The sequence below is a fragment of the Homo sapiens genome, chromosome 22 (assembly GCF_000001405.40).
Source record: "Homo sapiens chromosome 22, GRCh38.p14 Primary Assembly".
In the NCBI taxonomy this organism is placed as follows: Eukaryota; Metazoa; Chordata; class Mammalia; order Primates; family Hominidae; genus Homo; species Homo sapiens.
In genome coordinates, this window is record NC_000022.11 from 15,579,536 (window position 1) to 15,607,266 (window position 27,731).

At 42.1% G+C, this 27,731-nt stretch overlaps 1 long non-coding RNA gene across 1 annotated transcript; it reads right to left on the reverse strand.

Moving 5' to 3' along the window:
- Nucleotides 1-21,051: 21,051 nt before the first annotated feature.
- LOC112268291 (uncharacterized) lies at nt 21,052-25,661 on the reverse strand. Its single transcript, XR_002958737.2, has 3 exons — nt 25,307-25,661; nt 24,517-24,598; nt 21,052-22,979 (listed from the first exon to the last, which is right to left on the reverse strand). It is a non-coding gene; the product is annotated as an uncharacterized LOC112268291 (long non-coding RNA).
- Nucleotides 25,662-27,731: the final 2,070 nt, after the last annotated feature.

A 27,731-nucleotide genomic window follows, 5' to 3' on the forward strand; every position in this document is an offset into this window, starting at 1 on the left:
CTGCCCCATTCACTCTCATCCTTTCCCAGAGTAACAGTTCATACTTATTTTCTCTCCTTCCCATCTTAACTCTTTACTGATGACTTTATTTTCAATTTCACTTGTAAAAAAAAAAAGTGGTCATTTGACAAGAATTTCAAAATCTCTAGTCTCTTCATCTGCTCATCTTTATATATCTATACCTACATTCTGTTATCTCTCCTTTTCATATGGATGAACTGTCTTTGCTTCTAAATAATGTCCACCCCTCTCACTGTGACTAGGTGCTGTGTCTTGTTGTATTAGGATTCTCTAGAGGGACATGACTAATAGGATAAATGTATATATAAAATGAGTTATTAAAGAGTATTGACTCACACAATCACAAGGTGAAGTTGCACGATAGGCTGTCTGCAAGCTGAGGAGCAAGAAAGCCAATCTGAGTCCCCAAATCCCAAAAGTAGGGAAGCCAACCGGGCAGCCTTCAGTCTGAGGCCAAAGGCCTGAGAGCCCCTGGCAAACCCCTGGTGTAGGTCCAAGAGTCCAAAAGCTGAAAGAACTTGGAGTTTGATGTTTGAGGGCAGGAAGCAACCAGCATGGGAGAAAGGTGGAGCCAGTCGAGCCCTTCCATATTCCTCTGCCTGCTTTTATCCTAGCTGTGCTGGCAGCTGATTAGAGGGTGACCACCCAGACTGAGGGTGGGTCTGCATCTCCCAGTTCACTGACTCAACTGTTAATCTCCTTTGGTGACACCCTCACAGACACACCCAGGAACAATACTTTGCACCCTTCAATCCAAGCAAGGTGACACTCAGTATTAACCATCACACCTGTTATCTACTCATGCCTGTCATTCCAGAAATTTTCTTGCTTCTTTTTCTGCATCTGAAATTTTAATTTCTCCACCAAGTTCTTCACATCAAAAAACAAAAAAAGAAGTTATTTCTTTTAACCTGAAAAAAACCAATAACTCATAAAGAGCTAATGAATAAATTTATCTCAAATGTTTGATAACTTTAATAACTTTAATATTCACAGGTTATATTTATCAACAGATTGCCTTAGGAAAAGAAAAAGACTTCCCATAAACTAGAAGAAAATGTAAAATATAACCAACATATAAACAGCAATGTGTTAAAGAATAATACATAAAGAATACAAATAACACAATTAAATAATGAACAAAGGATATAGACATTATACAAAATATGAAACATGAATAGGCAATATATAATGCTTCATATTAGTAATCAGGGAAATGCTATTAAACATAGAACAGGATGATGTTTTACATTAGCCAGCTTGACAAAAATTGAAAATTTCAATCACAACTGTCAGAGAAATTATAGAACAAAGGAGACTCTTATACATGACTTGTAAGTAATGAGATGGGGAAGAGGACATAGAAGTCACTGCCTCACAATCAATGGCGGTTACTCAGTTCACTAGTCAGCAACGTGTGCTGTAAGTTTCACAATCATTTTGTGCTTTTTGTGAGAGAAATAGTTTAACAAAAGTATAATTTTTATTAATCTCACAATAAATTTGACCTAACATTTTATGTGATTGAATTCCTTTAGACCCCATTATTTTATTATGGCTAGTTTCCTGTGTTTTGTTTTGTAGATACATATAATAACTTTAAAAGACAGAAAAATTTTGTAACATCAGTTACTTCCGGGAGTGAAAGTGGGAGGAATTTTTTTTTACTATGTATTACTTACCTTTTAAATTTTACACTAGGATAATGTATTACTATATTCTGTAACAAAATTAAAATATAACATTTTAAGAAGTTTTAAATTAAAATAAAAAGTTCAGTAGATGAGAGATTCTAATCAGGAGCTAATGACTGATTCCACTATAAACAACTAGAAAACTAGACAAACTATATAAAAAATCATTTTCAAACATTAGACAATCAGCAGCTAAGGACTGTTTTTCTCCAGTTGAGAAGAGACACAAACAATGCAACCCCTACAATAGCCTCTTATTTCTGCCTGGGGATACTTACTGGACAACACCATTGACAGCAGAACCCAGACAGAGCTTGGAGAAGTCCCTGAATTGAAGAGAGAGAAACATTATTTTAGGAGGGCTAAGTGAGCATCTCAAATTTAAAATAATGGACTATACAAAGAAAGAGCTCCAGAAATCAGCATAGGTTTCCCCTGAGTGACCCAGGGACTGGCTAATTCAGTAAGCATCCAGCCCCGGATCTCATGTCTAATTTCCCCTCCTGAATGTCCAGGATCACCACCTTGAGCTGTCTTCATATCTGCAAATGACAGATTCATCTCTGCCCCTCAGGACTGCATAAACCTGTGCAAATACTTTCTACTTTTTATGAAAAGCACACTAATTTCACAAGCAAGTAGCATTTCCTGTGTTTTGGAGGATCAGCTCTAGCTTTGGAATTCAAAGTTATGGGTTAGACCCTTTACTCACTTCACCTTTCTCTGCATACTTGTGCCTGATTTTTCCTCTTTTTTATTTTTATTTTTGTTTGAGACAGACTCTCACTCTGTCACCCAGGCTGGAGTGCAATGGCCTGATCTTGGCTCACTGCAATCTCCTCCTCCCAGGTTCAAGAGATTTATAAAAGAGCAATATAAATTCCTGTGGAATTCCCCTTTTACTTAAGAATTTAACATCAGCAAATTAGTTTAACAAGGCTGTTTTGTAAGAGGCTGCGGTTGCATTCAAAAATTTGAATGGGAACAACGACTTGTAAAAATTCAACATTTTATTTATTTATTTATTTGAGAGGGAGTCTCACTCTGTCACCCAGGCTGGAGTGCAGTGGCGTGATCTTGGCTCACTGCCACCTGGCCCTCCTGGGTTCAAGCGATTCTTCTCCCTCAGCCTCCCGAGTAGCTGGGATACAGAAATGCGCCACCACGCCCCACTAATTTTTGTAGGCTTCACCATGTCGGCCAGGCTGGTCTTGAACTCCCCACCTCAGGTGATCCGCCTGCCTCAGCCTCCCAAAGTGCTGGGATTACAGGCGTGAGCCACCACACAGGACCAAATGTCAACACTTGAAACTACCACCTGTTATATTCACTGTGTCTATGATTGGACATATCTTTTTCAGTGGCCAAAAAATTATAAAACGGACACAGAATAGTCTTTTCAAAAAATTAAGGATGTTCTTTCTTCTTAAAAGGATTATAAGGCCAGATGCGGTGGCTCACACCTGTAATCCCAGCACTTTGGGAGGCCGAAGTGGGTAGATCACCTGAGGTCAGGAGTTCAAGACCAGCCTGATCAACATGTTTAAACTCCGCCTCTACTAAAAATACAAAAATTAGTCGGGCCTGGTGGTGGGCGACTGTAATCCCAGCTACTAGGGAGCCTGAGGCAGGAGAATCGTTTGAACCTGGGAGGTGGAGTTTGTGGTGAGCCAAGATTGCGCCACTGCACTCCAGCCTGGGCAACAAGAGTAAAACTCCGTATTAAAAAAAAGGGTGTGTGAGGGGGGAGGATTCTAAATATAATTAGAACTGGCATCTAAATTAATTTTAGTCGGTATGTGTGTGTGCGTCGTGTGTGTGGATGTGTGGATGTAAATGGCAGTAAAGGATGGGTGTGTGTGGGTGAGTGCAGGTGTGTCTGGGTGTGTGGGTGAGTGCAGGTGTGTCTGGGAGTGTGGGGGTGTGTGCGGGTGTGTCTGGTGTCTGGGTGTAGGTGGGTATGGGTGTGTACGGGTGTGTGTGTGTCTGTGTGTAAGTGGGTGAGTATGGGTGTGTGTGGGGATGTGTGTGTGTGTGTGTAGGTGGGTGAGTATGGGTGTGCGGGTGTGTGTGTGTATGTGTTTACATTGCGGTATGTGTCTCTTGGGTGCCGCCATTAGGGATTTGGAAGAATGAGGACCATAAACTTGTAAACATTTCTACATGCCTGCTACACAAGAAGTGTACCAAGCATGGTCAAAAGTAACTAAACCAAGTAAAGAAATTAGACATTAATTAAACTTAATGCTGGGCAGGAAAGAAGTATTCAGGCCCAGGTAAATTGAAGAAATATAACCAAATAAATGAAATTTTAAAATTAGTAGAATGAGACAGGAATACTTTTTAAAGTTTTTACATTTCCACTACCATTCTATGAAAGTGCCATTTCTGGCCAGGCTCACACCTGTAATCCGAGCACTTTGGGAGGCCAAGGTGGGCAGATCACCTGAGGTCAGGAGTTCGAGACAAGCCTGGCCAACATTATAAAACCCCGTCTCTACTAAAAATACAAGAATTAGCTGGGCATGGTGGTGCACGCCTGTAATCCCAGCTACTTGGGAGGCTGAGGCAGGAGAATTGCTTGAACCTGGGAGGCAGAAATTGCAGTGAGCCGAGATTGCACCACTGCACTCCAGCCTGGGTGACAAAGTGAGAGTCTGTCTCAAGAAAAAAAAGGAAAAAAAAGAGGCCATTTTTGATGATGGGGGGCAAAAACCCTTTGCTATTTTGGTAGATTAAAAAGGGTATGTAGCCATTTTAACTTGTATTTATTTGATTACGAAGTGAGGTTCAACTCTTCTTTGAAAGGCGCTTGTAGTTCTCGTTACATAATAATATTTCAACAAGAAAAATAGAACGGCTTTTCCTTAGAGATAAATAAATAAAATAGTATCTCTTTGAGGCCAACATTCATGTTCATTGTTAACTTTTTACAACCTGGAGTTTTCCATTCAGAATATACGGCTTATTCTCTTAGTTCAGAAATTAGATTCTTGCTGCTTGTTTACCCCAGTTGGCTCTGCAGCCCTGAGAAAGGTTTTTCAGTTCTTGCAAACATTTATATGTAGAGTAGATTTTATTACCATGTAGAAACAGAATAGAAGTTCTTGACAAGTGGAAGTCCTCTGTGATAGGGCAGCCTCGAGTGACCAAAACAGGTAAATTGTGAAAATTTTCAAGTATCAGAAGTAACATTTTTTCCTAAGGCAGGAAACAGTATACTCACAAAGAGATTTTTACATCTGCCTGGGTCTTGGTAGAATCATTAAGGGAAATGCGAATTAAATTAAGAAAACTTTCTTAAAAGACTTTTGTCTTTTAAATAGGTAAAATGAGCTGAGAATACAGATAAAGGTGTGTGAATGGAACAAGTTATGGTGACCCCAGGAAAACCCTTCTCCGGGTTACCTGGCCATCAGCTGTGACCCCTCTGAAGGAGGAGGAAACAAGCACTGCTGTTGAGTGAGCCTGCTCTTCCAAGATGCCAACTCATCTTTATTTTTCTTTCCTAAGTATCTTACACATTTACAGGATCATATAAATTTATTTTCCAAAACAAAATATTTTTGTTGTTTTGCCCATTTCAAAACAAACACGTTTATTTTTAAGTTAATAATGTTGTTAAAAACTCAGTTTATAAAATTGAAAGTTGCTAGGAGTGGTGGCTCATGCCTGTAATCCAATTATATATATACATATAGATATAATCTCTTCTATAATTGGTTTCCATTGTCATATATGCCTATTTTAAATTGTATTTTATTTTATTTTTTAAGAGATGGGTCTCACCATGTTGCCCAGGCTGGCCTTGAGCACCCGTGCTCAAGTGATCCTCCTGCCTCAGCCTCCCAAGTAGCTGAGACTACAGGTGTGCCACTGCGCTGGACTAACATATGCCTATTTGTCTATGTTTATACGTATAAACTTACTCATCCATTAATATTAGTGCATAGAATTCTACTATATAGATGTGCCTTAATGTATTTAAGAAATCCTCCTTCTGATGGACTTTTAAGTCTCTACTTTTTTACTATTACAAGCAATACAGCAATGAACATGAATTTCATGTATTTGTCCCACTTTGGTATTTGTTCCCTTGGAAAAAATTCCAAGATCTGGAATTTGAAGATTAAAGAATGAATACTTTTGTCTGGGCATTGTGGCTCACGCCTGTAATTCCAGCACTTTGGGAGGCTGAGGCTGGTGGTTCACCTGAGGTCAGGAATTTAAGACTAGCCTGGCCAACATGGTGAAACCCTGTCTCCATTAAAAATACACACACACACACAAATTAGCTTGGCATGGTAGCAGGCACATGTAATTCCAGCTACTAAGGAGGCTGAGGCAAAAGAATCGCTTGAATCCGGGAGGCAGAGGTTGCAGTGAGCCAACATCGCACCACTGCACTTTAGCCTGGGCGATAGAGCAAGACTCCATCTAAAAAAAAAAAAAAAAGAATGACCTTTTAATTATAATATGTATTGCCATATTGCCTTCAACACTGTGGGACTAATTTATGCTTCTAACCGAAGTATATGATAATGCCCATTTCCCCACAATCTCACCAATGTTCTAATGGGCTGTCTGTCCTTTGCTTAACTTCTCATAGGCGCTCCTTGTTTTTTCTGATCTTCAGTACCTTGTCATTTAGATGTTTTGCAAATATCCTTTCTCATGGTCTTTTTATTCTGTTGGGCCTTTTGATAAACAGAAGTTTAGGAATTTAGTCAATTTTATTCATTTATTTGTATTAAAGTTATATTCTTTTACAGTATCTTCTAACAGTTTTAGAATTTTTTTTTGACATTTAAGTTTTCATTCTACCTAGAGCTTTTTTTTGTAAGAGAAGGTTTCCAACTTTACCTTTTCCATCTGGATGCCCAGTTATCCCAGAGCTATTTCTTGAGACTTTCAGTCTTCATTGATGTGCCCTGTCTTTGCTTATATGTATGGATCTGTTTCTTAACACTCTATTCTTTTCCATTGGCCTGTTTATCCTTGGGCTAACACAACACTCTATTAATAGCAGCAACTTTATAATCATTGTTATCTGATAAAGCATGTCCTCTCATCTTGTGCAATAGGATTGCCTTTTCCTACACCTTTTTATTCTATGCATTGTCCTGTGTTCAAAAACAAAAAATATAGCTGTTGAGATTTTTATTGGATTGACCATGTGAACTAATCTGGAGAACACTGACATATTTCCATTACATTTTTTTTCTTTTCTTTCCCCTTAAGGTCAGGAAAGCATCACATATTTCTATTATTGAGTCTTCTAAATGTTAAAATGATCTGTCTCTATTTATTTAGATCTCCTTTAATATACCTATATTTTTTAAGAGGTTTTACACACTGTTGTTAGATTAATTTCCAGCTGCTTCTACTTTGAGATGCTATTATAAATGACTTTTTTAGAGAGATGGGGTCTCACTATGTTACCTAGGCTGGTGTCAAACTCCTGGGCTCAAGCGATGCGCCTGTGTCAGTCTCCCAAAGTGCTGGAATTACAGGCCTGAGCCACCGCACCAACTTTTTTTATTTTTTTGAGATGGAGTCTAGCTCTGTCGCCCTGGCTGGAGTTCAGTGGCATGATCTCAGCTGTTTTTCATTTTCTAATTGTTTGATGGTAGTTTTTATGAATATAGTCCATTTTTTATATTGACCTTATACCCAGCAACCTTGCTAAATAAATTTATTAATTCTAATAGTTTGTAGATTATTTTCAGTTTTTCAGGTATAAAACTGTCCAGAAATAGTTTTATTTCTTTCTTTCAATTGTGTATAACTTTTATTTATGTTTCTTCCCTTATTCTATTGCATAGAACTTCCAGCAGTGCTGACTAGAAGTGTGCCCTGTTCTTGACCTCAAAGGAGAACTTTCAACATTTTGCGTCATGTTTATTCTAGAGTTTTGTAGATCTCCTCTATCAAAATTGGGAAGTTCCATTGTATTTCTAACTTTGCTGAGAACATTTATTAAAAATGGATGGCAAGTGTGGACGCAGGTGGCTCACACCTGTAATCCCAGCAACTTTGGGAGGCTGAGGCAGGAGAATCAGTTGAAGCCAGGAGTTCAAGACCAGCCTGGACAACAAAGCAAGACACTGCCCCTACAAAAAAAGAAAAGAAAAAAAAAAAGAAACCTAGCCAGGCATGGTGGTGCATGCCTGTGATGATCCCAGCTACTTGGGAGGCTGAGGTGGGAGGATAACTTTAGCCCAGGAATTTGAGTCTGCAGTGAGCTGTAATTGTACCAGTGTACTCCGCTGTAGGTGACAGAGTGAGACCCCCATCTCTGAGGGGGTGGAAAAAGAACAGATAGTGGAATTTATCAAATGCCACTTCTGCATTTATTAAGATATTCATGTGATCTTTCTCCTTTAATCTGTTAATGTAGAAAATTATACTGTTTTTACGTATATTGTTTTTAAAATTATAAATAAAAGTCATCCAAATGAGACTTATTTATATACAGATGAGACTGTAGCAAGCCATTCACTTCCATTGGGTCATTTTTTTTTTTTTTTTTTTGCACTTCGTTTTAAGCAATTGAATTTCAATGACAATATAAGCAGGTGTTTATCATGAGTGTGTGCCAGGCTCCTTTCTGAGCACTTTGTGTGTATTATCCCATAAATTATCTCAACACTCAATGAGCTAGCTACTGCCATTCTTGTTGTTCAGCTGAGAAAACTGATTCGGAGAGATACTGAGTGATTTGCCCAGGTCACAGCTGGTAGGTAGCCACGCTAGGATTTACATCTGGTCTATCTTCAAAACATTTGATCTGAAGCCATACCAGTGCGTTTTACTCCATCCACCCATCAGAATCACATGAGAAACAGTCTTATAATACTGTGCCCCAGAGAGTAGCCAGCCAGACTGGTTCTCAGGAATAGTGTACCATCCAAAATACATTTATTAGAAAACAAGAAAGAAGAAAAATAAACAAACCATCCAAGATAAGAAGCCAGAGAAAAGCAGCAAAATAAACCCAATGAAAGTAATGGAAAGTATAAATTTTAAAAAATGATATAGAAGACAATAATTCCCATGAAACTGTAAGATTAACATTCTGGTGTTTAAATTTTGTTTTTTCTTTTTTAGGCATAAAGGCATCACAAGTGGTCACGCTCAGCTACTCTGGTTCCTACAGACTTTCCTCTTTGGGATGGCATCTCTCACCATCTTGACTGCTTACCAACAGAAGCATCAAAACCAAACTTGAGGATGTCCACAAGCTTGCTCTACACATCCTCATCTTTTTTGTGTGTGTTTGTGGGGTAAGGGAGGTGCAGTATTTACTCAGTGATCTTTTCTACTTTCTAGAAAGTGTCTGTCCTTGAAAACTATTTAAGAGCCTCTCATTAGTCATTTTTTCTCTTATATGCTCTGGTTGAGCTTGAATAGACCAGTTGTTGCTTAAGAAAGAAACTGAGAAAGATTTTAGCTTTTCAGTCCTATTTGGCAGAGGACTTCAGCTACCTTCTTATGGACTTTGGCTGTGTTGGTGCCCTCGTGTGCTCTGGGCTAAGCCACATACTAAATTGACTTTTTGGTTTGTATACCCTTGCTCTCGCCTTCTGATGAAAACACCTTACCCTCACCACCACCATCTTTGCTCTCCTTTCCCAAAGCTCTTTCCGCCTTGCTGCACCAGATAAAGTGACACCTCCACCATACGTCAATTCCACACACATTTATTAGGTACCTGTGAGGCAGGATCTTATCCTCTTAAACTTCCACTTCTCACGCTAGAGAGAAAGATAAGAAAGATGAGCAAGTGCCTGGAATGGGGCAGGCTGAGCTGTCACACAGGCACACTGAGAACCCACAGGGGAGACTGCAGAGTGCCTTCCCTGATGCTGCAGCTGGAAGTGATCCTTCCCTCCACCTGGCCCCTGGGACACTCTGCTCTGTAGTGTGCAGTCTGATGGTGCTGCTAGATTGCTTTTTCGCTCAGGGCCACAGCTTAAACAGCTTTACCTTTCCCCTCAGCACCTGTCCCACTACCTTGCACACAGGTACTCTATCCATGTTTATTGAACAAAGGAGGGAAACTGATTTCACTTTCACTTGTTCATTATCATTCCAATTTTTATATGAAAATGGCACAACCCACGTGGGGTACACTCATCTCAAAAGAAAAGCCCAAGACTACCTTTGACTGGTACTACCTTTTTTGTGGGTTCCTTGGTGAGAAACCTTTATCTTTTTCATACTTTTCTATTCTCCATCACTTCTCCAAAAGTGTCTCTTTCCAGCTCTGATTTATTCAAAACACATAAACATTCCTGTTTAGAGATTCTAGTCCACCATGGATTATCCAGCTAGTTAGTACCTCTCCTGTTCACTTGGTTATATTTTATTATTGCTCACAGGTTGGGGAGGCAGAATGACTGTGTCCCTTCACCCTGGCAGAATGACTGTGTCCCCTCACCCTGGCAGAATGACTGTGTCACCACTAGGAGCCATTAGGGCTTCTTCCCAGGAGGACTGCTTGCTTGCTCTTTGGGGACTAGCCCTCATTTCCCTTCCATGGTACAGTGGGGCAAGTGATTTGTATTAGACAAACATTTATAAGAAACAAGCCCCTCCCCAAAAGAGAGTCACCAAGTAAAGCACAAGCCTGAAAGATTATGAACTATGAATTGTCTTTAGTTGACATAAATTTCTGCAAATATATCTCAGTCTTTCCCTCTTTTCTCTGGTGATTAAGAAGTTGGTTTTTGGTAAGGAAAAGGATTTTTGACCATAGAGTTAGGCATCATGGAAATTCAAACCCGATTTCTTAATATCTGGTCTTCTCCGAAGAGAAATAATGATAGTAATAGTGGTGCTGGGAACAATATGGAAGATTATTGAATGAAATGGATTAACTTGAATAAAATGCTGTGAATTATCTCTAGCTGAATGCTTTTCTTGTATTTGTCAGTTTTGATATATTGATGCACATTTGATTCTTTTTCTCAAATAGACTTTACTAAGGAACTGTTTATACACTTCAGATCTCAGTTTGTTTTTCACTGATAAAGAAATGCAAAGCACTGTGGTTGTCGGGTATATATGTATTATATTTGTAGACCTGTCCATGCCCCACTTACCTCCTCCACGTACAGTGAATCACTAGGGTAGACATGAGTGTCTCCTTTTCATTGTAGGATTGTCTCCTTTTTGTTTCTGTTTTTATTCAACATTTGATAAAGTCTATGCACTAAGTATGGAGTGTTCTGGCATTTTTTTAATGCACAAAGCCCAGGATGCATCACTTAACAATGGGGATGCATTCTGAGAAATGCATTATTAGGTGAGTGCATCACTGTGCAGATCTCATAGGGTGTACTCACAAACCTACATGGCAGAGCTGACTACACACTGAGGCTATATGGTACAGTCTGTTGCCCGCAGGCTACAAACCCATACAGCATATAGAGTAGTACTGAATACTGAAGGTAACTGTAACACAATGGTAAGTATTTGTGTACCTAGCTTTTCTTTAGGATGGGATTTAAAAAAAAAAAAGCCAAATAGGCTGGGTACGGTGGCTCACGCCTGTAATCCCAGTACTTTGGGAGGCCAAGGTGGGCGGATCACCTGAAGTCAGGAGTTCAAGACCAGCCTGGCCAACATGGTGAAGCCCTGTCTCTACTAAAAATACAAAAATTAGCTAGGCATGGTGGCAGGTGCCTGTAATCCCAGCTACTTGGGAGACTGAGGCAGGAGAATGGCTTGAACCCGGAAGGTGGAGCTTGCAGTGAGCCAGGATTGGGCCACTTCACTCCAGCCTGTTCAACAGAGCGAGACTCTCTCAAAAAACAAAACAAGCAAAAAATAGCCAAACATAGAAAAGGTACAGTAAAAATGTGGTGTTCTAATCCTATAGAACCAGGGTCATACGTGCTGTGTGTCATTGATCAAAATGTCAATATGCAGGCATGCCTGTATAAAATCCTGTCATCTTATTTGGGGTATTATCATGGCTTAGTTGCAAAGGGGGATCTAGTGAGCAAATGGTGCAGATCATTCCATTCATAGAACCATAAACATCTCAACGAGGTAAAGTAACTTGCCCAGTATCACACAGACAGACATGACTCTGGGCGTCGTGTTGCCCACCTCCCCCATTATCCAGGAGTTTAGTAGTAAGTCTGTGAAGCAACAAATTTAAAAATAGACATCCTGGCTTTGTGTGGTAGTCATGGTGGTGATATGGGAGAAACAGCTTTATGTTGATTTTGGATGAGAAAAGGCCAGAGCCATCTTGGTGGAAGCAACCATGGAAAAAAACCAGGCTAAACTGTTTTCTTACCCACCCCTTAGATTTGCAAAGCACATATAGTTTGGAAAAATAAAAAAGTAAGGACAAAACAAAAAACAAAAAAACAAAAACAAAGCAAAACAAAACAAAAAAAAACCAGACTAATGACCTCAGAACTTAATAGCAGGCCCAATTTATAAACTAACAGTGTTTCCTACATTCAACATGTTTATGATTCCACGCAGTCTAAACATGCTTTAAAGCCACGGTGTTAACATAAGCCTGGGTTAGGTTTAAGAGGTTATATTCCAGATGTGTAAAGAGGCTTTTTAGAAAAACAACTTGCAATCTCAGAAAGCCCTTATATCTTTACACTGAGGGTCTGAGAACATGAAAGAGAAGTCAAAGAACTTGCAACTGAGGTCAGAGAGCACAGTGCAATCACATTTTTATCTTGCTAGGGCCCTTTCTGGAGTCTCATTAATTAAAGCTCTTAGTTTAGCAACCTGGGTTGTGAATATTTTTCCTTCCCTTTCTTGTCAGCACAGTGAAAAAAATGCTAGTAGGGTAGCTGAGTAACACACTTTAAGACAATGGAAACATTCTCTCTGTGAGGCTCCTTGTCCACAACAAATTGTGAATTATGTTTCCATTTTCATCCACGCTGGACAATAGGAGTCTTTAATGTTCACATTTCTCTTCTTGGAGAGGAGATTTGTGCTCTGATCCCACAGTAAGCACTTGAAAATCCTACTCAAAATACTGTATTTGCTACTTCTGCGAAGCATTTTAAGATGGCTTCTAAGCTTTTATAAAGGATTTAAGTACATCAATTGCCTCATTTCTATTTGTAGTAAGTCATTATGTTGGATTAAGGGAAATACTTCTGGTATACAATGAATGCTGTTCAGTCACATAGGTGTGGGAAATGGAAAAGTAATTTTTAAAAGTAAGAAAGAAACAAAAATGCTGTTCAGGGAAATATTCATGAATGAACATTTACTTACTTTTTCCTTGTATTCATACATTGCACAGGATTAAATTGAAGAAATCTTAACATTGTTATAAATGAGAGGAATGGCATCTATAATGTAAGGTAAGGAAGAGTTACCTAAATCTCAAGCACATAGGGGTCACCTCCACAACTTTAATCATGTCTACAATACATCTGAATTTATTATTTATGATTACAAGTATTTTGGTTTTTTTTTTTGTTTGTTTGTTTGTTTTTTTTGAGACTGAGTCTCACTCTGTTTCCTAGGCTAGAGTGCAGTGGTGCAATCTTGGCTCACTGCAATCTCCACCTCCCAGGTTCAGGCGATTCTCCTGCTTCAGCCTCCCAAGTAGCTGGGATTACAGGCACCCACCACCATGCCCGGCTAATTTTTATATTTTTAGTAGAGATGGGTTTTCACCATGTTGGCCAGGCTGGTCTCAAACTCCTGACCTCAAATGATCTGCCGGCCTCAGCCTCCCAAAGTGCTGGGATTACAGGCATGAGCCACTGCACCTGGCCAGAAATTCACTTTTAAAAAAAATTTCCTAAACAAGAATAACTATGAAATTCCAGACTCGGTTTGTTCATTATATTTTTTCTAATACACATGAAAAGAAAGGATAATTATTACCTAAAATCACCATGCATACTGGTGATACATTTGACACACTTAAAAATCAGAAAGTATTACCCTACTAGTTGAGATTGAAGATGGGATTTAACCTGGCTCTAGCCACAGGATTTTAGACAAGTTTGTCACCTTTCCGGACCTTGGTTTCATCATTAAAATAATTGAAATACCACCCCAAACCTGTTAGAACTAACAGACAAATTCAGTAAAGTTGCAAGATGCAAAGTCAAAATGCAAAAATCAGTAGCATTTTCATACACTAACAACAAGTTATCAAAAAAAAAAAAAAAAAGAAAGCAAGCAAGCAATCCCATTTATAGTAGTTAAAAAGAAGTTAAATACCTAGGAGTACATTTAACCAAGGAAGTGAAAGATCTCTACACTGAAAACTCTAAAACATTGATGAAAGGAACTGAAGATGCAAATAAATGGGAAGTCATGCCATGTTCATGTATTGAAAGATTTAACATTGTTTAAATATCCATACTACCCAAAGCAATCTACAGATTCAACACCATCCCCATCATAATTCCAATGATAGAGCAGGGCGCAGTGGCTCACACCTGTAATCCCAGCATTTTGGGAGGCCAAGGCGGGTGGGTCAACTGAGGTCAGGAGTTCAGGACCAGTCTGACCGACATGGAGAAACCCCGTCTCTACTAAAAATACAAAATCAGCCAAGCGTGGTGGCCCATGCCTGTAATCCCAGCTACTCAGGAGGCTGAGGCAGGAGAATCGCTTGAACCCAGGAGGCAGAGGTTGTGGTGAGCCGAGATGGCGCCATTGCACTCCAGCCTGGGCAACAAGAGCGAAACTCCATCTCAAAATAATAATAGTAATAATTCCAACGATATTTTTTCTCAGAAATTAAAAAAAGATCCTAAAATTTGTATGGCACTTTGGGAGGTCGGGGGAGGCGGATCACTTGAGGTCAGGAGTTTGAGACCAACCTGGCCAACATGGTGAAACCCTGTCTGTACTAAAAATACAAAAATTAGCCAGGCATGGTGGTGCCTGCTTGTAATCCCAGCTCCTTGGGAGGCTGAGGCAGGAGAATCACTTGAACCCTGGAGGTGGAGGGAGAGAAAGAAAAGAAAAAGAAGAGAAGAGAAAAGAAGAGAAGAGAGGAGGGAAGGAGGGAGGGTGGAGGGAGGGAAGGAAAGAAGGAGAAAGAAAAAAGAAAGAAGAAAGAAAGAAAAGAAAGCAAGAGAGAAAGAGAGAGACAGAGAAAGAGAAAGAGAAAGGAGGGAAGGAGGAAGGAAGGAAAGAAGGAAGGAAGGAAGGGAGGGAGGGAAAATAAAGCAGAGAAAGAAAGAAACTTTGTAAACTATAACACGTAAAGCACGAGTACAGTTTTCCTGGAAGGTTTGTGATTGACCACATTGCAGCCTGTGCTCCTCATACTTGACCACATGGATGGATAGACCACTTTTGAGTAGCAAAATAGAGAAAATTTAGAACTAGAAATCACATGGTTCAGCCTTGATTTCTGAGGCTTAGCGTTGGTTTCTATATGTACCAACACCGTCAATAAGAAAAACTGCTAGGCACTGTTCCTGGGAGGTTAGTAGTTAATGTCAATAGTATTTGGAGCCATAATACAATCTGGCAAAGAGCGTTGTTCCAGGGCTGAAAATGCTGATGGAATTAGCCAACTGACCTATCCGCATACTCCTCCTTCCCGGAGAAGAAAAATTAGGCATTAGGTCTTTTGAAAGTAAAAAAAACTCAATACTTTTCAAATATTTATTTTGTTCTGGAAACTGATATAAAATATCCAAAATCCACAACTGCTCTTTGAGGTGACCATTATCCCCATTTCAAGTTGAAGATACTATAAAATATTATAAACATGAAGATACTGGCTGGGCACAGTGGCTCACACCTGTAATCCCAGCACTTCAGGAAGCTGAGGCAGGAGGATGGCTTGAGCCCAGGAGTTCAAGAACAGCCTGGGGCAACATGGCCAGACCCAGTCTCTACAAAAAATTAGCCAGGCGTGGTGGCACATGTCTGTGATCTCCGCTACTGGGGAGGCTGAAGTGGGAGGATCACCTGAGCGCAGAGATGTCCAGGCTGCAGTGAGCCGTGATTATGCCACTGCTCTCCAGCATGGGCCACAGAGTGATATCCTGTTTTAAAAAAAAAGGAAAAGAAAAAGACAATAACACACCACCTCATTCATTCATTCTATATAAATACATAAATAAGATACTACATGGTAGAGAATCCCTGCCAAGATCTTCAAAATCAACCCTAAACAGATAGTGGAAGGACAGGAGAGAGACACATGGATTCCTAACACTAAGCAGGGAAATTAGGGAATTTCTCACTACCCTCTCTGAGACTGAAGACTACTGAAATTAGTGTGGGGGTGGAGCCTGGGCATCATGAAGAACTGGTTGGGCAGCCTTTACATTCCGCTCTTGTTCCCTCAAGTTGCCTTCAGAGAGACAGTCATCAGCCTGACTCCTTCAGCATGACAGTTAACAGTGCCCGGAGCACTGTCCACTCATATCAGCAACACAAACTCTGCGGGGGCATGGGAGAGAATTCACAAAAATAGACACAGACAGCCCTCAGGTAGTTCCTTCACCATGCTTCCAACCAAATTGCCAGGACTGTAGATTATCTTATTTCCTCCTAAGGGTTTAAAAGTGAAAACTCCAGCCAAAGGAATGACTAGTGGATTGGCCTCAGACGGGGATTCACTAAGGGGTCTGTGATCCCTGGATTCTCAGTCCTCACATGGCCGGGACCAACACAGATGAGGCTGGCCTTGGCCCCTCCCAGTACATATGACCAAACATTTTCCCAAAGGAAAATGAGCCCACAGCCAAATAACTGGAGGAAAAGTCTACACAAGCAGCATGTATCATCTGATCACATATGTTGAAGCAGAAGGTCCCAAAATCTAATAATGCTCCTTAAATAGGAGACAACAGAAAATGTTAGCAATATGCAGCAAGAACAAGATATCATAAAAAAAACTAAGTGAAAATATTAGGTAGGAAAAATAAAATAGTTAAAACAAAGAATTTGATAAATGGAAATTAATCAAATTTGACAAATGAAATAGAATGGATATAGTTGAAGAAAGAATATATGAACACATGATTGTGGCGGTCTCACAATAAGACTAAAACATAAGAAATAGAGAAGAAAAGCTTGGAAATGTGGATGATAAACATAAAAGTGCGAACACCTGAGCAATAAATTCAGCTGGTGTAAGAAGTAAAAACAGAGTGGAGGAAATACTTGAACAAATAATGGAGATACATTTCCAAAAAAATGACCTTATTTGAAAGGACTTATAAAGAAGAGCTAAGAAGAGATAAGGAAAAATCAATTCCTAGGTACAACTATAAAATTTAAAAATATTAAGTAAAAAAGTAAATAAATAAAAATAATGAGGAGACTGGGCACAGTGGCTTATGCCTGTAATCCCAACACTTTGCAAGGCCAAAGCGGGAGGATCACTTGAGGCCAGGAGTTCGAGACAAGCCTGAACAACATTTTGAGACCCTATCTATCTTTACAAAATATTAACAAAAAAATTAGCTAGTCATGGTGGCACTTGCCTGTAGTCCTAGCTACTGGGGAGGCTCAGGCAGGAGCACCACTTTAGCCCAGGAGGTCAAGGCTGCAGTGAGCTGTGATCATGCACCGCTGCACTCCAACCTGGGCCATAGAGTGAGACCCTCTCTCAAAATAATAATAATAATAATAATAATAATAATAATAATAATAATAATGACAAGGAGAAAGCTCTAAAAGCTTCCAGAGAGAGAACAGATCATCTTCAAACTACATAATAGTTATAAAGTATTAGGAGACAGTAATTTTGAAGGTAGAATTTTATTTATTTATTTATTTATTTATTTATTTATTTATTTATTTATTTTTTGAGACAGAGTCTCGATCTGTTGTCCAGGCTGGAGTGCAGTGATGCAATCTTGGCTCACAGCAACCTCCACCTCCTGGGTTCAAGTGATTCTCATGCCTCAGCCTCCAAGTGGCTGGGATTACAGGCATGCACCACCATGCCTGGTTAACTTTGGTATTTTTAGTAGAGACAGGGTTTTACCATATTGCCCAGGCTGGTCTCGAACCCCTGACCTCAGGTGATCCACCTGCTTCAGCCTCCCAAAGTGCTGGGATTACAGGCGTGAGCCACCATGCCCGGCCTCATTTCACCTCTTGAACTTGGGTTTTCTCTTGAGGCAGTTACACTTGATTTATAACGTTCCTCTCAGCTTTAAAATTCCATAAAATTCCAGAAGCACTATCTACTAGTGAAACAATTTACTGGGAGAAGTAGTGAGTCCCCTGTCACTGGAAGCATTCAAGCAGAGTGAGAATAGCCAGTTGTCTGATACGCTGTAGAGAGAATTCCTACATTAGATAGGAGGTTAATATTTGATTTAAATAATTAAGCCAATAATAAAAAATAGCACTGAGTATGTAATATGTGCCCAGCACTGCTCTAAGCATTTACACACATCTCATTTGATCTTTTCGGTAACTGCATGGGGAGTGGGTACTATCCCCATTGTGCAGAGGCTACTCAGATCAGGGGCAGCACTAACCAGAGAGCTCACAGCTAGAGAGAGATGGAGATTGGAAATCAGATTGCTGTGGCCCCCAGCAAGTCCTAATCACCACCCAATTCTGTCAGCAGCCTCCGGGTTCTGGGATGGGCATGTCTTCCCACTGGCCTGGGATCTGGGTGCAAGGTGACGTGCCTGCCTCCTACCCCTCTCCAGGGCAGGAAATTGAGCATGGAATGCAGACGGCAGGCTTGCCAACAAGGCCACTTTCCCACGGCCTGCAGCAGAAAGAGGCTGCTTTCCGCTGCTTGGGCTGCAAATGCTCTGAGCCCTTCACCGGCAGCCTTATTTTACAGAAGGTGAAAGCTAAAACCTAGAAACGGCAAGCTACCTACCCAACGTCACAGAACAAACAAGTGGCACAGCTGGGAAACATCTGCATGGAGTCCTCACTTCCAGGCCAGTGCTTGATGTTCTGTTATTTTTTTTTATTTATTTATTTTTTGCAAGCTCCGCCTCCCGGGTTCTCGCCATTCTCCTGCCTCAGCCTCCTGAGTAGCTGGGACTACAGGCGCCCGCCACCGCGCCCGACTAATTTTTTGTATTTTTAGTAGAGACGGGTCTCGATCTCCTGACCTCGTGATCCACCCGCCTCGGCCTTCTGTTTTGTTTTTAACTAAATCACATTACTGCAGTCGCTTACATGTGACAGTCCCTCAGTTTTCTGTTCTGAATATATCTCTTTTTAATCAAGGCCTATGCATCAACTACAGCAAATTGGAGATTCCCAAGAGTGGCAATTATTCTAAACGAAACTCTGCCTATGATATTCTAAAAATTCTAATCTAACCTCACCCCTGTGTCACACGAAACTCATCTCTTGTTGGTCCTGAATCCACACTTCTGCTCCTTTGAGGCAAGTTTCCCCACTAACATTGACCCCCAATTACATATTAACCTTTGCCCCAGCTGTCACCCAGCAGAATTCCCTCCGCAGTCCTCTCTGCTTATCTGGCCTGCTGGGAACTCACCATCAGACAGCACTGAGAATTCAACAACTGTTTCTTTCTTTTTTTTTTTTTTTTTCTCAAGATCTGCTTTTAGGAGAAGCAATCATTTCAACACTGCATTACAAATGAACTTATACCTCAGTCAGAAACAAGCAACCCCATTCCCCACATAAGCTATTATTATTATTATTTTTTGGACACGGAGTTTCACTCTGTTACCCAGGCTGGAGTGTAGTAGTGCCATCTTGACTCACTACAACCTCCACCTCCCAGGTTCAAGTGATTCTCCTGCTTCAGCCTCCTGAGTAGCTGGGATTGCAGGGGCCTGCCACCATGCCCGGCTAATTTTTGTATTTTTTAGTAGAGACAGGGTTTCACCATGTTGGCCAGGCTGGTCTTGAACTCCTGACCTCAAGTGATCCACCTACCTTGGCTTGCCAAAGTGTCGGGATTACAGGCATGAGCTACCGCACCTGGCCTTTTTTTTTTTTTTTTTTTTAATGGGCAATATGTACTTTCAGATCACATGTTGGTTGGGGATCATCCTCCCAGATGCACATTCACGTTCTGGAGGATGACACAGTTAGAAACAGGTTTTAGAATCCAGTGTGACCTTGGGCAGATCTTCCATCTGTTCTCAGTCACATTTGTAAAACATAGGCAAAGACTGTGGCGACCTCACAAAGAATGTTTGCTGAAAGGAGAAATGAGTGCTTTCTGGGCCAATTCATTCTCACCCTGTCGAAGTGAGACCCCATGTCTCACTTCATCCTCAAGTGTAGTTGAAGATTGTCATCAACATCATCCCCCTGGCCCGCCGCCTGTTGGCATCAAGGTCACCTGCAGTGGGTCTTCCACACTGAGGGACTGTGCTCTTTGCCATTCAGCTGGGGCCCAAAGCTCTGTTCTCCACAAGTCATAGGGGGATATTAATGGAAATATTGGCAAATCTTACAATGTAGAAATATAAAAAAGCTCTGTGTTAAAACTATTGTAAGCAAACTGAGAAAACAATCATGAAACTGGGAGAAATATGTGCAATCATATCACAGGCAGAGATGAACTTCCCTAATACATAAAGAGCTTCCACTATTCAATAGGAAGAAGCCTACCAACACAAAAATAATAAACAGAAGTAAAGGATATAAACATCTAGGTCACAGAAAAGGAAATACAAACAGTTCTGGACATTTTATTTTATTTTTTTTAATTAAAAATTTGCCAGGCACGATGGCTCATGCCTATAATCCCAGCACTTTGGGAGGCCGAGGCAGGCGGATCATGAGGACAAGAGATCGAGACCAACCTGGCCAATATTGTGGACCCTCGTTTCTACTAAAAACACAAAAATTAGGTGGGTATGGTGGCGGGTGCCTATAATCTCAGTTACTCAGGAGGCCGAGGCAGGACAATCGCTTGAACCCGGGAGCTGGAGGTTGCAGTGAGCCGAGATTGCACCACTGCACTCCCGCCTGGCGATAAAGTGAGACTCTGTCTAAAACAAAACAAAACAAGACAACAACAACAAACAAAAACTAATGAACAAACAAAAAACAAACAAAAAAATACTGTACTAAGGGAACAATTTTCCACCTATCATGTTGAGGAACATATTTAAGAGTTTTATGGCTGGATGCGGTACCTCATGCCTGTAATCCCAGCACTTTGGGAGGCCAAGGCAGGTGCATCATCTGAGTTTGGGAGTTTGAGACCAGCCTGACCAACATGGAGAAACCCCATTTCTACTAAAAATACAAAATTAGCCGGGCATGGTGGCGCATGCCTCTAATCCCAGCTACTCGGGAGGCTGAGACAGGAGAATCACTTGAACCTGGGAGGCAGAGGTTGTGGTGAGCTGAGATTGTGCCATTGCACTCCAGCCTGGGCAACAAGAGTGAAACTCCATCTCAAAAAAAAAAAAAGAGTTTTATGACATGCTTGTTAGAGCTGTGTGAGGAAAAAAGCATTTCTATACACTGAGGATGAGAGGATATATTAAAGTCACTTCTTCTGTAAGGCAATTTGGCATTATCAATCAAAATCACAAATGCACAAACCCTTTGACTCAGGAATACAGATATATTCTGATGCATGCCAAAAATGTATGAACAAGATTTTTCATTGCAAAATTGTTTGTCATCTTCTTATACAGTGTATGAATACAAGAACTCTGGAAATGTACACCCATATTATTGTATAATGCAAGCATACATTTTTATTCTGCTTGTATATTTTTTTCTTAAACTTATACATATTTACTGATAAAATAAGCTAGCATTGCTTTTACATCATGTTTAAATATGTAAACGTCAATCTGTGTTTAACAAAATTGATTTATTGCACTGATGAATTTTATTTCAAAAGTTATCTTTTGGCTGGGCGAGGTCGCTCACACCTGTAATCCCAGCACTGTGGGAGGGCGAGGTAGGTGGGTCACCTGAGGTCAAGAGTTTGAGATCACTGTGACCAATATAATGAAATTCCGTCTTTACTAAAAATTTACAAATTTACAAATTTGCCAGATGTGATCGTGTGGGCCTGTAGTCCCAGCTACTCAGGAGGCTGAGACAGGAGAATCGCTTGAACCTGGGAGGCAGAGGTTGCAGTGATCCGAGATTGTGCCACTGCACTCCAAGCCTGGGCAACGGAGTGAAACTCCATCTCAAAATTAAAAAAAAGTTATCTTTCATGGTATGCCCACTTTAGAATAATTTCAAAGATCTTTAGGTAACTCAAAACCTTGTACAAATTTAATTGATGGATATTTGCTGGGTACATAAATAATTTCTAGGAAAAATGAAAGACTAAAACATGCATTATGAAGCACAATTTAAGTGTATAAACTTTTGCTTCTTTATTTTTATTTATTTATTATTTTTATTTTATTTTATTTTTTATACTTTTTTTTTCCTTTTTGTGGAGATCAGGGTCTTGCTATACTGCCCAGGCAGGTCTTGAACTCCTGGGCTGAAGCTATCCTCCCACCTCTGCCTCCCTAAGAGCTGGGATTACAGGCGTGAGCCACTACACACAGCCAAGATTTAATGTTATGACTGAGGTAAACATGAATGAAAGCAAATCTTCAAAATATCTATGATTTGATCTCATGTATATACATTTGTGTCTGAATATACATTAGATAGATGGGGAATGCATAGATGTGGAACAGGCAGAGCCTAGCAAGCCGAGGGGACTGGACCTGAATCTTGGACAGAGGGAATTCGTAACAGAAAAGACTTTCATGTTTTTCTCTGTATAGTTAATTACTTTATGCTCGACCACAACAAGAATGTATTGTATATGTTTTTGTGTTTTTTTTTCCCTTAATCTTAAATTCAAAATATAAGGTAGCCTCCTGGCTGTGAGCTACAAGAATCCTTATGGGTTTGGCAGTTCTTTGACAACTTCTCACCTGGCTAAATTATCAAGGAATGTCCTACCACCAAGCATGAGAAATTCTTGGCATTCCTGAAATAAATTCTTCTTCTGAGCCAGCTCACGTAGGCATCATAATCTCCTTGAAGGCTTTAAAAAGATTTAGATCTGAGTCTGTCTCAGATTCTCGGGCTCAGAACCAGAATTTCTTCATCTGAGGCTATTATCTTGCTCTGGAGGAGGGAGTGAGAACTGGATCACTGGTTACGGTGGTGACTGGGACAACAGCACAGCCACAGACAGGAACACAGAAGGCAGAGGCAGCCTTGATCTGCAAGGGCTCCAGTTAACCCCAATGGGGACCCTCGATGGACAAAGGCACTCTCCTAGGCTTGGTGATGAAAGTATTCCTCTTACAGCCAGGCAAGGCACTCAGGGCTCTGCAGCAGAGAAGTTAGAGCTGTAGCTTTTTTGCTTGGTGTTTTCACTAAAACTTAATTTCTTGTTGCACTTGTTGGATGGGCATGTCCCATAGGGGAAGTTTCCACTACTGTGTTCTAAACTTTGGACTGCTTGTACCATCTTACTTGTTCCCTCATTAATAATGAACTAAATAAAACCTTTAGTATATGCTAATTTCATATCTTTACGAGAGTCATGACTTTACCTTTTTGTTTTGAAAAGTACCTTTTCACATTGCTATCACTTCCTTACCAGAGCAGTGAGTGTCTGGGTCTCCCTCTTAGGGGCAGACACTGTTCCATGTAATTAGAATTAATTTCTTGTTCTTGGTAGGCAGAGAAAACCTTCCACACTCCCAGGAGACAAGGGTTCAGATCTTGTGCCATGGCTGAGAGTGATGCTGAGGAAGACACTTCTCTCTAGTCTCAGTTCGCCTGCCTGTGAAATGGGCTCATAACAAACTCCTGATCCCAGGCTCAGTCGCCTTGAGCCCATGACCTCACCCAACCCCTCCATCCAACTCAACTCGGGGGGCGGCCCCCTTTCCTCCGAAGGCGCCCGGGTGGCAAGTCGGTGCCTCAGCTCCCGGGGGTTTCTGGGTTCTGCGCTGCCCACGGGGTGCCCAGGGGCCTCTGGAGGGGGCGGGTTCTCTCCAGCCAGAAAGCCCGGAGCCGCCCAGGAATTTTGGCTCGGACTGAGAGCATTGTCTCCAGGGCCTGCCGGGCACGATCCGGGAAGGGCGGCTGCGGGCACATGCCGTGCTGCTTTCAGCCAGGCCGGCACCATGCGGCCCCTGCTCTGCGCGCTGGCCGGGCTGGCCCTGCTCTGCTCCGCGGGCGCTTTGGCCGGTGATTGGGGCGCGGGGCAATGCAGGGGACACGGAGCCGGGGAGATCCCCAGATGGCGAGGAAGGAATGAGCGAGAGAGAGAGCTGGACACAGCAGCGAGATGGAGAGAGGGGCAGATACAGGGAGGGACGGATGGAGAGAGAGATGGTGAGAGGAAACAGACTCAGAAAAAGGCAGAGAAGTAGAGCAACGGAGAGATAAAGGAGAGAGGGAAGAATAAACAGTGAAAAGGAAAAAAGGAGAGGCCGAGACAGAAAGAGGCTTTCCCTGAACAGATATGAACCAAGATAGAAAGAAAAAAGAGTTTGAGAGACAAAAGAGAAGAAGGAAAGAGAAAGACTGACTAAAATGGCAAGGGGTGGAGGGAGAGAGGATAAGAAAAGAGAAAGATTTGAGAGAGACCAAAAAAGAGAGAGAGAGGGAAGCTCGATGCCTGGAGTAGAGCTGGCAAGAGAGAAGGAGCCAGGATCTGGGGTGGGAGGTCACAGCTGCTGGGTCGGGCAGCCCCGGAGGCCAGCTCCATCTCAGAGGGCCTGCGGAGGCTCAGCCCTGGCTTTATAGGACATTGCTTAAGAAGCCAGACTCCAAAGGGTGAGTGACCCAGGCCAGCCCAGCACAGCCTTAAGAAGCCAGGCAGGCGAGTCCAGGAGAAAGGCCACCGACTCACCTGCCACGTGGCCTCAGGTGGTTCTGCAGTTGGTGAAGAAGTCAGCCTCCTGGTTTCCAGGGAGCTTCTCTGGGGAACTGAGCTGTTTGGGGTAGAGACGGGGGACTGGATGGAGATGGAGAGCTGTGCGGGAGGGAGAGGCTGTCTGGGTACTCCATTAGCTGGGTTCCTTGCCTTTCGCTGTCCCCTTTCTTCCCCCCACCTCCCCCCTCAGCTTAATGTTGCCCCTTCACAGGTGAGGCTCAGACGGGGTGACTCATGTCAAGTGACTTACTAGACTGCAGTCTGGGGCGGTACACAGATGCTCATTCCACCACCCTGCACATTGCATAGGACTTTACAGTTTACAAGCCACAACCCCACCTAGCCACGGATGGCTATTGCTCATTCCAGTTGCCCAGGTGAGGGAAAAGCTCAGATCTCATGGTGGTGCCAAGGCAGAGCCCTCACAAAGCATCCAGGCCTCCTGCCCCCCCAGTCGTTGCCACGACCTTGGCAGAAGTGCCCTGTGCTAAGATAGAAGCCCCTAGCGCCTTTCAGGGCCCTCTGAACTGTGGGATTAAGCACTTGGGGAAAGGATCCAGACCAGCCCTCAGGATCCCCTGCCTTGGTTGAGTCCCTTTCCCTCTCTGGTGCTGTTTCTTCCTCTATAAATTGGGGAGAATGATACCCACCCCACAGGGCTGGCCTCAGGGATTAGATGAGAGAGGAAGTGCCCAGCAGGGAACATGCATCAACGCACATTCTCTCAGATGACTCCACTGATCTCTCTGAGCCTCAGTTTACTCACCTGTTAAAGATGACCACCAAAGGCTTCCTCACAAGCTGCATGAGGAGTGGCTGGGACTCTGCCCAGCGTAGAATACAGGCCCCAGTACACACCCTCCCATCCCCCTCTCCTTTAGTCCCTCCCAGCTCAGCCCCAGGATCCAGGAGCTAAAGGCACAAAGCAGCACCTGTGTTTCTCCCGGAGGGAGGAGGGAGCATCCTGCCCACAAGTGGCTACTTTTGGTGCCCCTTTTAGCCACAACTTGTACAGAGACTTTAAACCCACTTTTAAACATTATTTTTCTTTCTGATTATGCATGCTCATTGCTACAGAAAAAGAAGAAAATGAGTTTGGGAGGCCGAGGCGGGCAGATCACGAGGTCAAGAGATCAAGATCAGCCTGGCTAACACGGTGAAACACTGTCTCTACTAAAAATACAAAAAATTAGCTGGGCCTGGTGGCACAAGCCTGTAGTCTCAGCTACTTGGGAGGCTGAGGCAGGAGAATCACTTGAACCTGGGAGGCGGAGCTTGCAGTGAGCCGAGATCAAGCCACCACATTCCAGCCTGGGTGATAAAGCAAGACTCCGTTTAAAAAAAAAAAGAAGAAGAAGAAAAGGAGGAAAGTATTCATGTGTTAGTGTAATTTCACATTGACTTCCTACATTTTTGTGCATATTCTTTCAGATTTTAGAATTAACTTTTGATTATGAAAACTTAACTTTTGATTATGAAAACTATTGGATACAAAAAATACAAAATAATAGTATATGAAAGAATGATATAATGTACTATTAACCCTGCTTCAACAAGTATCAGTTCATGGGCAGTTTTATCTCATCTATAGTCTCCACCCTTTCTCCCCTCCCTGGATTATTTTAAAGGAAATCCAGGCATTGTATATTTTCTTTTTTTTTTTTTTTTGAGACAGGGTCTCATTCTGTCACCCATGCTAGAATGCAGTGGCGCAATCTCAGCTCACTGCAACCTCCGCCTCCTGGGTTCAAGTGATTCTTCTGACTCAGCCTCCCCAGTAGCTGGGACTACAGGCACGTGCCACCACACCTGACTAATTTTGGTATTTTTAGTAGAGACAGGGTTTCACCATGTTGGCCAGGCTGGTCTCGAACTCCTGGGCTCAAGCGATCCACCTCCCTCGGCCTCCTAGTGTGCTGGGATTATAGGTGTGCACCACCATGCCTGGCTAATTTTTGCATTTTTTAGTAGACACAGGGGCAGGGCGGTTTCGCCATGTTGGCCAGGCTGGTCTTGAACTCCTGACATCAAGTGATCAGCCTGCCTTGGCCTCCCAAAGTGCTGGGATTACAGGCATGAGCCACCACACTGGGCCCCAGTCTTGGTTTCTTTTAGCAGCACTCAGAGAAACCTTTATCCCTGATGGCTTTTTAGACCATGAGCCACCGCACCTGGCCCTTTTTTTTTTTTTTTTTTTTTTTTTGAGAAGGAGTCTCGTTCTGTTGCCCAGGCTGGAGTGCAGCAGTGCGATCTTGGCTCACTGCAAGCTCCACCCCCGGGTTCACGCCATTCTCCTGCCTCAGCCTCCCGAGTAGCTGGGACTACAGACGCCCGCCACCATGCCCAGATATATATATATATATATATATATATATATATATATATAGTATTTTTAGTAGAGACGGAGTTTTACTGTGTTAGCCAGGATGGTCTGGATCTCCTGACCTTGTGATCTGCCCACCTCGGCCTCCCAAAGTGCTGGGATGTATACGATGTATTTTTATTAACTATAGTCATATGCTCTACCTTAGATCTCTAGAACTTACAGCTGAAAGTTTCTACCCTTAGACGAACAACTTCCCATTTCCCCCGCTCCCTGCCCTCTGGTAACCACCCTTCCACTCTGTTTCTGTGAATTCTACTTTTTCAGGTTCCACAGAGAAGTGAGATCACATGATATTTGTCTTTCTGTGTCTGATTTATTTCACTTAGCATATGTCCTCCAGGTTCATCCACATTGTCATAAACGGCAGGATTTCCTTCTTTTGAAGGTTGAATAGCATTCCACTGCATATATATACCACATTTTATTCATCCATTCATCCATCTATAGACACTTAGTTTGCTTCCATATATGTATTTGTTTTGAGACAGAGTTTTGCTTTTGTTGCCTAGGCTGGAGTGCAATGACGCCATCTCGGCTCACTGCAACCTCCGCCTCCCAGGTTCAAGCTATTCTCCTGCCTTAGCCTCCCAAGTAGCTGGGATTACAGGCACGTGCCACCACACCGGGCTAATTTTGTATTTTTAGTAGAGATGGCGTTTTCTCCATGATGGCCAGGCTGGTCTCGAACTCCCGACCTCAGGTGATCCGCCCACCTCGGCCTCCCAAAGTGCTGGGATTACAGGCATGAGCCACCGTGCCTGGCACTCATCAATGTTCTTAATGGAATCTAGAATGGTGACTCCTT